Source organism: Homo sapiens, chromosome X (genome assembly GCF_000001405.40).
Source record: "Homo sapiens chromosome X, GRCh38.p14 Primary Assembly".
Lineage (NCBI taxonomy): Eukaryota > Metazoa > Chordata > Mammalia > Primates > Hominidae > Homo > Homo sapiens.
In genome coordinates this window covers 10,632,923-10,645,289 of record NC_000023.11, presented here as the reverse complement: position 1 = coordinate 10,645,289, position 12,367 = coordinate 10,632,923, and the positions used below count along the sequence as shown (strand labels likewise).

General features: G+C 40.1%; 1 protein-coding gene across 2 annotated transcripts in view, besides 1 other annotated feature; it reads left to right on the top strand.

Moving 5' to 3' along the window:
- MID1 (midline 1) overlaps positions 1-12,367 on the top strand; it is a 388,374-nt gene that overhangs the window by 188,394 nt on the left and 187,613 nt on the right. The gene's annotated exons all lie outside the window — the stretch shown is intronic.
- Positions 9,923-11,122: an enhancer, noted in NCBI's record as "P300/CBP strongly-dependent group 1 enhancer chrX:10602208-10603407 (GRCh37/hg19 assembly coordinates)". NCBI's record gives its function as "activates an origin of replication core promoter dependent on BRD2, BRD4, P300/CBP, MED14 and CDK7 cofactors, with strong dependence on P300/CBP, by STARR-seq in HCT116 cells {active_cell/tissue: HCT116}" and the evidence as "EXISTENCE:reporter gene assay evidence [ECO:0000049][PMID:35650434]".

The following is a 12,367-nucleotide window of genomic DNA, read 5'->3' as shown; positions in this document are numbered from 1 at the left end:
AGCTTCAGGAGGCTACCTGATTTGAGAATCATCCTTTGCTCCATTAAACTCTTAAATTTAATTCAGCTAAAGTTTTTCTTTTAACACTACCCACCTCAGGACTTGGAGACCCTGAGAAGTTACATAGGTTGCCCCAGGACACAAAGCATGCTGGTGACAGAGAAAATTGAAGAGAGCCCTCCTGACCCCCTGTTCACTTGGACTTTCAGCCATGTTGCACTGCCCCGGCTCAACTAACTGTACTTACCACTATGGTAGAAAAGCTTGAGAACAAAGTGCCATGCTGTCGCACCTACAACATTTAGGAAGAAGTTCAAAAGATGTCTGACTTCAATCACGGCAATGACAAAGCAGCAAATGCAAGAAAGAACAGGATCAATAAAAGTCCCAGTGGAATTAAAAAGAAGACAAGAGAGGTTTAAAAGGAAACTGGGCTTTGGATACATACTCTTTCTGCTTGTAATCTGTGCTTCTTACACTTTCTGAGTTTGAAAAGGAGTAATGTTTTTGTGTCACACTTGGAAATTTTGCCACATGACTGTCATCATGGGAACTTTGGACCCTGTTCTGGAGCTAAGAATAGCTGAGATACTAATTAGGTTGCTTGAAAAGTGCTAAAGAACTGATCAAGTCCAGAGAATTCACAATGGAACTTCATGGCCAGACCGAGGTCTGTTCTAACTAGGATTCTTGTGTTGCCATCAGCACATCAACTGCCCCTTGCTTTTTCATATGAAAAACTAATACCTGTAATGATCTCAAAATTCAAATATTTGAGTATCAGAATATTTATTCTGATACTCAAACATATGAATAATGAAAAAGAAATGTCGTGGTGGGAACCAATAAAGACAGGGTTTGGAGGGGCCGAAGATCCTAGGGACGGATAAAATAGGGAGATGGCTGAGAGGAAGGAGGAATGAAGGTCTCCTACTGAAATTTAAGCACCACACTTCTGGACTTGTTTTCTTATGAATTGGTTCTTTTTTTTAATGAGAGCAGGTAATAATATTCCTTTATCAATGCATTTAAAGGGCACAATTTAATTTAGTTTCTGTAGTTAAGGTGTGTAGTTAAGTGCCTGGTACATAACAAACAACAGTGATTAATAACCTACTGTTTTTTTATTATTTTTATTATACTTTAAGTTCTAGGGTACATGTGCACAACGTGCAGGTTTGTTACATATGTATACACGTGCCAGGTTGGTGTGCTGCACCCATTAACTCATTATTTACATAAGGTATATCTCCTAATGCTATCCCTCCTCCCTCCCCCAACCCCACAACAGGCCCCGGTGTGTGATGTTCCCCACCCTGTGTCCAAGTGTTCTCATTGTTCAATTCCCACCTATGAGTGAGAACATATGGTGTTTGGTTTTCTGTCCTTGTGATAGTTTGCTCAGAATGATGGTTTCCAGCTTCATCCTTGTCCCTACAAAGGACATGAACTCATCATTTTTTATGGCTGCATAGTATTCCATGGTGTATATGTGCCACATTTTCTTAATCCAGTCTATCATTGTTGGACATTTGGGTTGGTTCCAAGTCTTTGCTATTGTGAATAGTGCCACAATAAACATACATGTGCATGTGTCTTTATAGCAGCATGATTTATAGTCCTTTGGGTATATACCCAGTAATGGGATGGCTGGGTCAAATGGTATTTCTAGTTCTAGATCCCTGAGGAATCGCTACACTGACTTCCACAATGGTTGAACTAGTTGACAGTCCCACCAACCGTTCCTATTTCTCCACATGCTCTCCAGCACCTGTTGTTTCCTGACTTTTTAATGATCGCCATTGTAACTGGTGTGAGATGGTATCTCATTGTGGTTTTGATTTGCATTTCTCTGATGGCCAGTGATGATGAGCATTTTTTCACGTGTCTGTTGGCTGCATAAATGTCTTCTTTTGAGAAGTGTCTGTTCATATCCTTTGCCCACTTTTTGATGGGGCTGTTTGATTTTTTCTTGTAAATTTGTTTAAGTTCTTTGTAGATTCTGGATATTAGCCCTTTGTCAGATGGGTAGATTGTAAAAATTTTCTCCCATTCTGTAGGTTGCCTGTTCACTCTGATGGTAGTTTCTTTTGCTGTGCAGAAGCTCTTTAGTTTAATTAGATCCCATTTGTCATTTTTGGCTTTTGTTGCCATTGCTTTTGGTGTTTTAGACATGAAGTCCCTGCCCATGCCTACGTTCTGAATGGTATTGCCTAGGTTTTCTTCTAGGGTTTTTATGGTTTTAGGTCTTACATTTAAGTCTTTAATCCATCTTGAATTAATTTTTGTATAAGATGTAAGGAAGGTATCCAGTTTCAGCTTTCTACATATGGCTAGCCAGTTTTCCCAACACCATTTATTAAATGGGGAATCTTTTCCCCATTTCTTGTTTTTGTCAGGTTTGTCAAAGATCAGATGGTTGTAGATGTGTGGTATTATTTCTGAGGGCTCTGTTCTGTTCCATTGGTCTATATCTCTGTTTTGGTACCAGTATCATGCTGTTTTGGTTACTGTAAACTTGTAGTATAGTTTGAAGTCAGGTAGCGTGATGCCTCCAGCTTTGTTCTTTTGGCTTAGGATTGTCTTAGCAATGTGGGCTCATTTTTGGTTCCATATGAACTTTAAAGTAGTTTTTTCCAATTCTGTGAAGAAAGTCATTGATAGCTTGATGGGGATGGCATTGAATCTATAAATTACCTTGGGTAGTACGGCCATTTTCACAATATTGATTCTTCCTATCCATGAGCATGGAATGTTCTTCCATTTGTTTGTGTCCTCTTTTATTTCGTTGAGCAGTGGTTTGTAGTTCTCCTTGAAGAGGTCCTTCACATCCCTTGTAAGTTGGATTCCTAGGTATTTTATTCTCTTTGAAGCAATTGTGAATGGGAGTTCACTCATGATTTGGCTCTCTGTCTGTTATTGCTGTGTAGGAATGCTTGTGATTTTTGCACATTGATTTTTTATCCTGAGACTTTGCTGAAGTTGCTTATCAGCTTAAGGAGATTTTGGGCTGAGACGATGGGATTTTCTAAATATACAGTCATGTCATCTGCAAAGAGGGACAATTTGACTTCCTCTTTTCCTAATTGAATACCCTTTATTTCTTTCTCCTGCCTGATTGCCCTGGCCAGAACTTCCAACACTGTGTTGAATAGGAGTGGTGAGAGAGGGCATCCCTGTCTTGTGCCAGTTTTCAAAGGGAATGCGTCCAGTTTTTGCCCATTCAGTATGATATTGGCTGTAAGTTTGTCATAAATAGCTCTTACTATTTTGAGATACATTCCATCAATACCTAGTTTATTGAGAGTTTTTAGCATGAAGTGTTGTTGAATTTTGTCGAAGGCCTTTTCTGCATCTATTGAGATAATCATGTGGTTTTTGTCTTTGGTTCTGTTTATATGATGGATTACGTTTACTGATTTGTGTATGTTGAACCAGCCTTGCATCCCAGGGATGAAGCCAACTTGATCGCGGTGGATAAACGTTTTGATGTGCTGCTGGATTTGGTTTGCCAGTATTTTATTGAGGATTTTTGCATCAATGTTCATCAGGGATATTGGTCTAAAATTCTCTTTTTTTGTTGTGTCTCTGCCAGGCTTTGGTATCAGGATGATGTTGGCCTTATAAAATGAACTAGGGAGGATTCCTTCTTTTTCTATTGATTGGAATAGTTTCAGAAGGAATGGTACTAGCTCCTCTTTGTACCTCTGGTAGAATTTGACTGTGAATCTGTCTGGTCCTTGACTTTTTTGGTTGGTAGGCTACTTATTGCCTCAATTTCAGAACCTGTCATTGGTCTATTCAGGGATTCAACTTCTTCCTGGTTTAGTCTTGGGAGGATGTATGTGTCCAGGAATTTGTCCATTTCTTCTAGATTTTCTAGTTTATTTGTGTAGAGGTGTTTATAGTATTCTCTGATGGTTGTTTGTATTTCTGTGGGATCGGTGGTGATATCCCCTTTATCATTTTTTATTGTGTCTATTTGATTCTTCTCTCTTTTCTTCTTTATTAATCTTGCTAGCAGTCTATCAATTTTGTTGATCTTTTCAAAAAACCAGCTCCTGGATTCATTGATTTTTTGAAGAGTTTTTTTGTGTCTCTATCTTAGTTCTTCAGTTCTGCTCTGATCTTAGTTATTTCTTGCCTTCTGCTAGCTTTTGAATGTGTTTGCTCTTGCTTCTCTAGTTCTTTTAATTGTGATGTTGGGGTGTCAATTTTAGATCTTTCCTGCTTTCTCTTGTGGGCATTTAGTGCTATAAATTTCCCTCTACACACTGCTTAAATGTGTCCCAGAGATTCTGGTATGTTGTGTCTTTGTTCTCATTGGTTTCAAAGAACATCTTTATTTCTGCCTTCATTTCGTTATGTACCCAGTAGTCATTCAGGAGCAGGTTGTTCAGTTTCCATGCAGTTGAGTGGTTTTGAGTGAGTTTCTTAATCCTGAGTTCTAGTTTGATTGCACTGTGGTCTGAGAGACAGTTTGTTATAATTTCTGTTCTTTTACATTTGCTGAGGAGTGCTTTACTTCCAACTATGTGGTCAATTTTGGAATAAGTGTGGTGTGGTGCTGAGAAGAATGTATATTCTGTTGATTTGGGGTGGAGAGTTCTGTAGATGTCTATTAGGTCCGCTTGGTGCAGAGCTGAGTTCAATTCCTGGATATCCTTGTTAACTTTCTGTCTTGTTGATTTGTCTAATGTTGACAGTGGGGTGTTAACGTCTCCCATTATTATTGTGTGGGAGTCTAAGTCTCTTTGTAGGTCTCTAAGGACTTGCTTTATGAATCTGGGTGCTCCTGTATTGGGTGCATATATATTTAGGACAGTTAGCTCTGCTTGTTGAATTGATCCCTTTACCATTATGTAATGGCCTTCTTTGTCCCTTTTGATGTTTGTTGGTTTAAAGTCTGTTTTATCAGAGACTAGGATTGCAACCCCTGCTTTTTTTGCCCCCCATTTGCTTGGTAGGTCTTCTTCCATCCCTTTATTTTGAGCCTATGTGTGTCTCTGCACATGAGATGGGTCTCCTGAATACAGCACACTGATGGGTCTTGACTCTTTATCCAATTTGCCAGTCTGTGTCTTTTAATTGGAGCATTTAGCTCATTTACATTTAAAGTTAATATTGTTATGTGTGAATTTGATCCTGTCATAATGATATTAGCTGGTTATTTTGCTCGTTAGTTGATGCAGTTTCTTCCTAGCACTGATGGTCTTTACAATTTGGCATGTTTTTGCTGTGGCTGGTACCTGTTGTTCCTCTCCATGTTTAGTGCTTCCTTCAGGAGCTCTTGTAAGGCAGGCCTGGTGGTGACAAAATCTCTCAGCATTTGCTTGTCTGTAAAGGATTTTATTTCTCCTTCACTTATGAAGCTTAGTTTGGCTGGATATGAAATTCTGGGTTGAAAATTCTTTTCTTCAAGAATGTTGAATATTGGCCCTCACTCCCTTCTGGCTTGTAGAGTTTCTGCCGACAGATCAGCTGTTAGTCTGATGGGCTTCCCTTTGTGGGTAACCCGACCTTTCTCTCTGGCTGCCCTTAACATTTTTTTCCTTCATTTCGACCATGGTGAATCTGACAATTATGTGTCTTGGAATTGCTCTTCTCAAGGAGTATCTTTGTGGCATTCTCTGTATTTCCTGAATTTGAATGTTGGCCTGCCTCACTAGGTTGGGGAGGTTCTCCTGGATAATATCCTGAAGAGTGTTTTCCAACTTGGTTCCATTCTCCCCGTCACTTTCAGGCACACCAATCCGACGTAGATTTGGTCTTTTCACATAGTGCCATAATTCTTGGAGGCTTTGTTCATTTCTTTTTACTCTTTTTTCTCTAAAGTTCTCTTTTCGCTTCATTTCACTCATTTGATCTTCAATCACTGATACCCTTTCTTCCACTTGATCAAATTGGCTACTGAAGCTTGTGCGTGCATCACGTAGTTCTCATGCCATGGTTTTCAGCTCAGTCAGGTCATTTAAGGACTTCTCTACACTGTTTATTCTAGTTAGCCATTCATCTCATCTTTTTGCAAGGTTTTTAGCTTCTTTGTGATGGGTTCAAACATCCTCCTTTAGCTCGGAGAAGTTTGTTATTACTGATCACCTGAAGCCTTCTTCTCTCAACTCGTCAAAGTCATTCTCTGTCCAGCTTTGTTCCATTGCTGGCAAGGACCTGCGTTCCTTTGGAGGAGAAGACGTGTGCTGGTTTTTAGAATTTTCAGCTTTTCTGCTCTGGTTTCTCCCCATCTTTGTGGTTTTATCTACCTTTGGTCTTTGATGATGGTGATGTACAGATGGGGTTTTGGTGTGAATGTCCTTTCTCTTTGTTAGTTTTCCTTCTAACAGTCATGACTCTCAGCTGCAGGTCTGCTGGAGTTTGCTGGAGGTCCACTCCAGGCCCTGTTTGCCTGGGTATCACCAGCAGAGGCTGCAGAACAGCAAATGTTGCAGAACAGCAAATTTTGCTATCTGATCCTTCCTCTGGAAGCTTCATCTCAGAGGGGCACCCAGCTGTATGAGGTGTCAGTTGGCCCTTACTGGGATGTGTCTCCCAGTTAGGCTACTTGGGGGTCAGGGACCCACTTGAGGAGGCAGTCTGTCTGTTCTCAGATCTCAAACTCCATGCTGGGAGAAGCACTACTCTCTTCAAAGCTGTCAGACAGGGACATTTAAGTCTGCAGAAGTTTCTGCTGCCTTTTGTTCAGCTATGCCCTGACCCCAGAGGTGGAGTCTACAGAGGCAGGCAGGCCTCCTTGAGCTGCAGTGGGCTCCACCCAGTTTGAGCTTCCTGGCAGCTTTGTTCACCTTCTCAAGCCTCAGCAATGGCGGACGCCCCTCCCTCCACCTCGCTGCCACCTTGCAGTTCGATCTCAGATTGCTGTGCTAGCAGTGAGCCAGGCTCTGTGGGTGTGGGACCCTCCGAGCCATGCGCAGGATATAATCTCCTGGTGTGCCGTTTGCTAAGGCCATTGGAAAAGCACAGTATTAGGGTGGGAGTGTCCCGATTTTCCAGTTGCTGTCTGTCACGGCTTCCCTTTTCTAGGAAAGGGAATTCCCCAACCCCTTGTGCTTCCCAGGTGAGGCAACGCCCTGCCCTGCTCTGTGGGCTGCACCCACTGTCTGACAAGCCCCAATGAGATGAACCTGGTACCTCAGTTGGAATATGCTGGGAGCTGCAGACTGGAGCTGTTCCTATTCAGCCATCTTGGATGACAAGGCCAATATCCTACTGTTATTAAACTTTTCTTCTGCCAGAGAACTTTGTCCATCTTTTCCCACTTCCCGAGTGTATTTGCCGACATTACTCTCTGTACTTTTTTTAAAAAAGAAACTCTTGATTTTGGAACATTTTAAGATTTACAGAAAGTTGCAAAGGTAGTACAGAGAGTTCCTGCATGCCTTTCCCCCAGCCTCCCCTGTTATGAACATCTTACCTAATGGTGGCACATTTGTCCAGACTAAGAAGTTCATCTGTACATTACTATTAATTCCTTGTACTTCCAAATAGCTGCTGTCTCTTTTTCAGGCATTAATTAGGAGCCCAGATAATTCTAATGTTGATATTTGATTGAACCAGGATACTTCCTTGTGAATAAGAAGTGGGCTCTATAAATTCAACATTGTACACACAAGTTATCATAGGTCTTTCTTTCTTTCTTTTTTTTTTTTTTAGATGGAGTCTTGCTCTGTCACCCAGGCTGGAGTACAGTGGTGCAATCTCGGCTCACTCCAACCTCTGCCTCCTGGGTTCAAGCGATTGTCCTGCCTCAGCTTCCTGAGTAGCTGGGATTACAGGCGTGCACCACCATGCCTGGCTAATTTTTGTATTTTTAGTAGAGATGGAGTTTCACCATGTTGGTCAGGCTGGTCTTGAACTCCTGATACCATAGATCTTTTGTAGGGTCCATGTGGTCCTAACAAAATTCCATCACCTCTGGCAGGCCCAGAGAACTGCTGGTTAATTACTAAAAAAAAAAATACATAAAGCAGACTCCTATTGAAACCAATTTAAAATATGTGTTTGAGTATTCACAAACTTACCCTCACTGTGTTTGAAACCTTCAAGTTTTTTTTGGTGAACACAGAATATCTGTTTTTGAACAAAACATTCTAACCTGATGTGTAAATGTGATATGCTCATAGAAAGGGAGCTGAAGATTGCAGCACTCTTTTGGACATGATATTTGATACAAGTTAGATTATAAGACTCAAGATTTTGAAAAGGGCCCCTTGGAAACTTCCCAGATGAGATGGTTCAATGGGGAACATACCAGATGGAATGTATAGGCCTCTGTCCTAAACAGATGTTGTACAGCTGGGAAAGCTGTGACAAGAAAATGCACCCCAAATGCTTCTGATGGACAGATCTCTGTGCACACATGCACACACACACACACACACACACACAGCGTTTTAAGAATCAAAATATTCAGATTGCTTAAAAATTAGAATTTCAGGTGTCAGTCACCAGTGGTGTATATATATATATATATATATATATATATATATCCCCATTGTTGGAATGGCCCAGTTTGTCAGCATCAAATCCATAGTCCATCTGTGATTGCCCTTGAAACTGATGAATTCACTTCAATTCCAACCTAATCAATTCTGAACTAGTGCCTTGAAGTCATTTAAATAGTAACTTCCTTTGCACAAAATCTTAAGACCGTGGAGAGTGGAGGTCAAGAGAACACTAGTAAGGTGGCCTCTGACTTCTTGAGCTTTTGACATTCAGCCACCAGAGGCTGCTCTGAGACCATTATCCTCTTTTCACTCCGGGTCCAAATCCCAACGGTGAAACCTGTAAGGACTGATTTTGTTTCCATTGCTTTGAATTTTCCTTCCTCAATGCAGTTCCCTGGAGGTCTGCTGTTTGGAGAAGATGATTAATTATAGTTAAAGAGGAACAGCTGAAAGAAGAAAAAAACTACAGATTACTGTTTTGCCCTCCTCTCTATTTTTAAACTCTTAATCTTGTTCTGTTTCTTTTAAATAAAAGAAAATTGGTCAGGGTGGAAAGAGAAAGTGCTTTCTTACTGGCACTGGCTAATTTTTCTTCATTTTTCCCCTCTGTGTTGCTGGATTTTCAAAGAACATTTCTGAAGGGTTTTAAATCTTTATTCCACAATACTTACTTCCACATGGTTTCTATTCTTCCAGATTTTGCCAGCATTTTATAGTTGCTTTCATGCTGTTCCCTCTGTTTTATGTTTTTAAATCTTTGCCTTTCTCCTTTCTCTCTATCTAACAAAGCAAATCCAAAATTAAATGGAATATCTATAGTTAGGTAAGAAGGATTAAAAATGGTTTTGTTGCCTCTAACATATTTTGTAGTCTGGGACAACTAAGCACTGATTTAAATTGTTAACTGAAGAATGAAACCAGTTTCTTCATGTGACATTGCTTTCAATCTTCACGAGTGAAGACATGACTGTGACAGACAATGACCAGCCTGTCAAAAATAAGTGTTTTTATGTTATTGTTACATACACCACCCTAATTATTATACTTCCATATTTATGAAAGTAAGTTACTATGTAAAGAACTTAAGTTCTAAAGCCATGGCAAATACTAAATTAATAGTTTTGCAGCAGACAAAGTAATCAATGTGTAAATGACCTGGAGAATTTCAGCATGACAATTCTTTCATTCTAGACTTATTCTTTTTTTTTCTTAGTAAAATTCCATGTCTGATTGGAAAAGGTATAATTTAAATGTATGCATTCTTATAGAAGGCATATAGAAAACATGCTCATTTTCTACAGATTACAGAAAAATCAATTGAGTTGCAAGGAAAATGAATACTTATTTTATTAATTTCTATTTGCAGTAAAAGATGGAAATGTAAAGATTTCCTTTTGCTCTGAAAAGGAATTCTTGAGATACCATGAAACATTCCTAAGTGGTATCATATTCATAGAGTGGAACTATCATTAGAAGCATTTGAAATGTTTGGTATTTCACCTCAAGTGTAATCATAATGGTAAAGATTCTTAATATTGGTGACTAAAGTAGGATACATGTGGGTTTATATTTTCAGGTAGAATACTGGCAGCTACAGTATGTCAACTGGAGCATATTTCACCAAATGCCTTGACAAAGATGGAATGACAATGAAATTGCTAGATCTCTTCTCTGGGGCAGGTTATGCTTTTCAACTTGCCCCTACTAAGGAGAGTACCAGAAGCCATTTGCCCATGAGTAATACCTTATTAAACCATCATGATTTAATGTGGCATATTTTTCTCTCAATTTGCATGCCTGACAGTCGACTTCCTGAATATCACATTCGAGCTGAGCCACAGAAGAAAAATAGACCCACTGAAGTAGCATTAGGTCAGCTTCGCGGGATGCATTAGCAACCTGTCTGAACAAAGACGGGGGACTCAGGCGCAGAAAATCATAACGTGGCCCCAGGCCCTGGGAGGTGGCCCCATTGCCTTGCAAATGTATCGCATGACTCATTATTAAACACACCAAGAACAGACGAATTCCAGGCGAGTGAAGCATCCACTGATTCAATTGCAGTTAGGTGGGTTGTACGATATTCGTCTTACTTGCTTTTCCTTAAAGAACACCCACACCATCTCTTACGCTCTTGAACACGGCACGTCAAATGCATGAAGCAAGTGTATTAAGATAAAAATTGCTAGCATTAAATACAGGCACTTAAATTAGTATAACCCTCTGGCCAGATATAGTGCACTAAATTGCACAGGCTTTAAAATGCCAGCACTCAATTTAAAAAAAAAAAAATGTATCCATAGCAACCTCTTTGTTAAGGGAATAGTTACCAGGAAGGATACACATCTTTCCAGAGAATCAGAGATAAAACCATATTAGTTAACTGGATGATATTACTTGGATTTAAATTTAACTAGAGGCATGGTTCAGGAGAAGGGGCTTTTTAAAAACTTTACAACTTATATGCTTATTTCCAGTAAAATGTGTTTTCATATCTTTCTTATTACCAAAAGATTCTTACATATGGGACTTTTATTAAAATACCATGGAATAACTTTGGGTTTCAGATATTTAGAAATAAATATCAACCATCCTGTTCTTCCTGCCCACAGCATGCCTATCATTTTTTTTCTTAGCATTTTCTTTTAGCATACACATAGGTATTATTCTGCAATTTTTGCTCTATATGCATCTTTGATGGTCCTTTCATGGATATTTGTTACCAGAAAGGGCACAGGGTCTTGTAATAACCCACAATCCTTCTATTGTGAGGTCATCTGACTTAAGTCATCCTGTTTCCAAGAGACTTTCTCTCTGTCTAATGGAGTGGCCTTTCGTGCAGTTATGTCATGTGATGTGGGCTGTAGGGGAGGGGGAAATGGGGGATGACTAACAGTGAGGTGAAGAGCCTGCAAATAACAATGTCTCACATTTCTTAGGCAACGAGTATTGGGGAGGAAATCTTTTCATCTACCTTCTTCTGTTCAATCCCTGGGGGCCTGCAAACTAAACTAACAAAAGATAGATTAACAGGAGAAAAGGCACACAATTTTAATCAATATTTACATGTACAAGGCTGTGTTTGGAAGCTCTAGCCTGTAATTCCAGCACTTTGGGAGGCCAAGGCGGGAGGATTGCCTGAGCCCAGGAGTTTGAGACCAGCCTGAGCAGCATAGGGAGACCCTGCCTCTACAAAAAAAATTTAAAAATTAGCCAGGCATGGTGGTGTGCACCTGTAGTCTCAGCTACTCTGGAGGCTGAGGTAGGAGGATTGCTTGGGCCTGGGAGGTTGATTGAGGCTGCAGTGAGCCATAATCACATCACTGCACTCTAGCCTGGGCAACAGAGAGAGACCTTGTCTCAAAAAAAGAAAAAAAAGTACATACACAAGAGTTCACACAAAAGGAGCAAAACACAAAGAAGCAGCTAGACTCAGGGGCTTTTAACATACCCTTTTAACAAAGGAAAGAGGGTTTGGGCTTCAAGGGATAATAAATTATGGGAAAATGACTAGGAAATATATAGGGGAACTAATGAACAATAAGGACTAAGGTCTATTTATACAAACTCTTCTTGGTATCAACTCCCCATCTTCTATGATAAAAGTCATTCTTCTCTCTCTGGTACAGGGGGCACCTTCTTCAAAGGGAAATGTATGTTCTGCTTTTAGGCAGATAGAGGGAGGGCAGAGAACTCTTCCGACAGCTGTTGATTTTCATTTGACTTTAGCTCAAAATAATTATTATGCCAAAGAGGCATATTTGGGGTTGGCATATTCTGATCCCCTTCAGGAGGTAAACACATCAAGCTTGGAGCTTAAATTAGTCAATGTCAGTCAGAGCCAGCTTCTTGGGCATACAACCTGTGCAGTTACATGAGGTCCCACACTTGGTCTAATGGTAGAC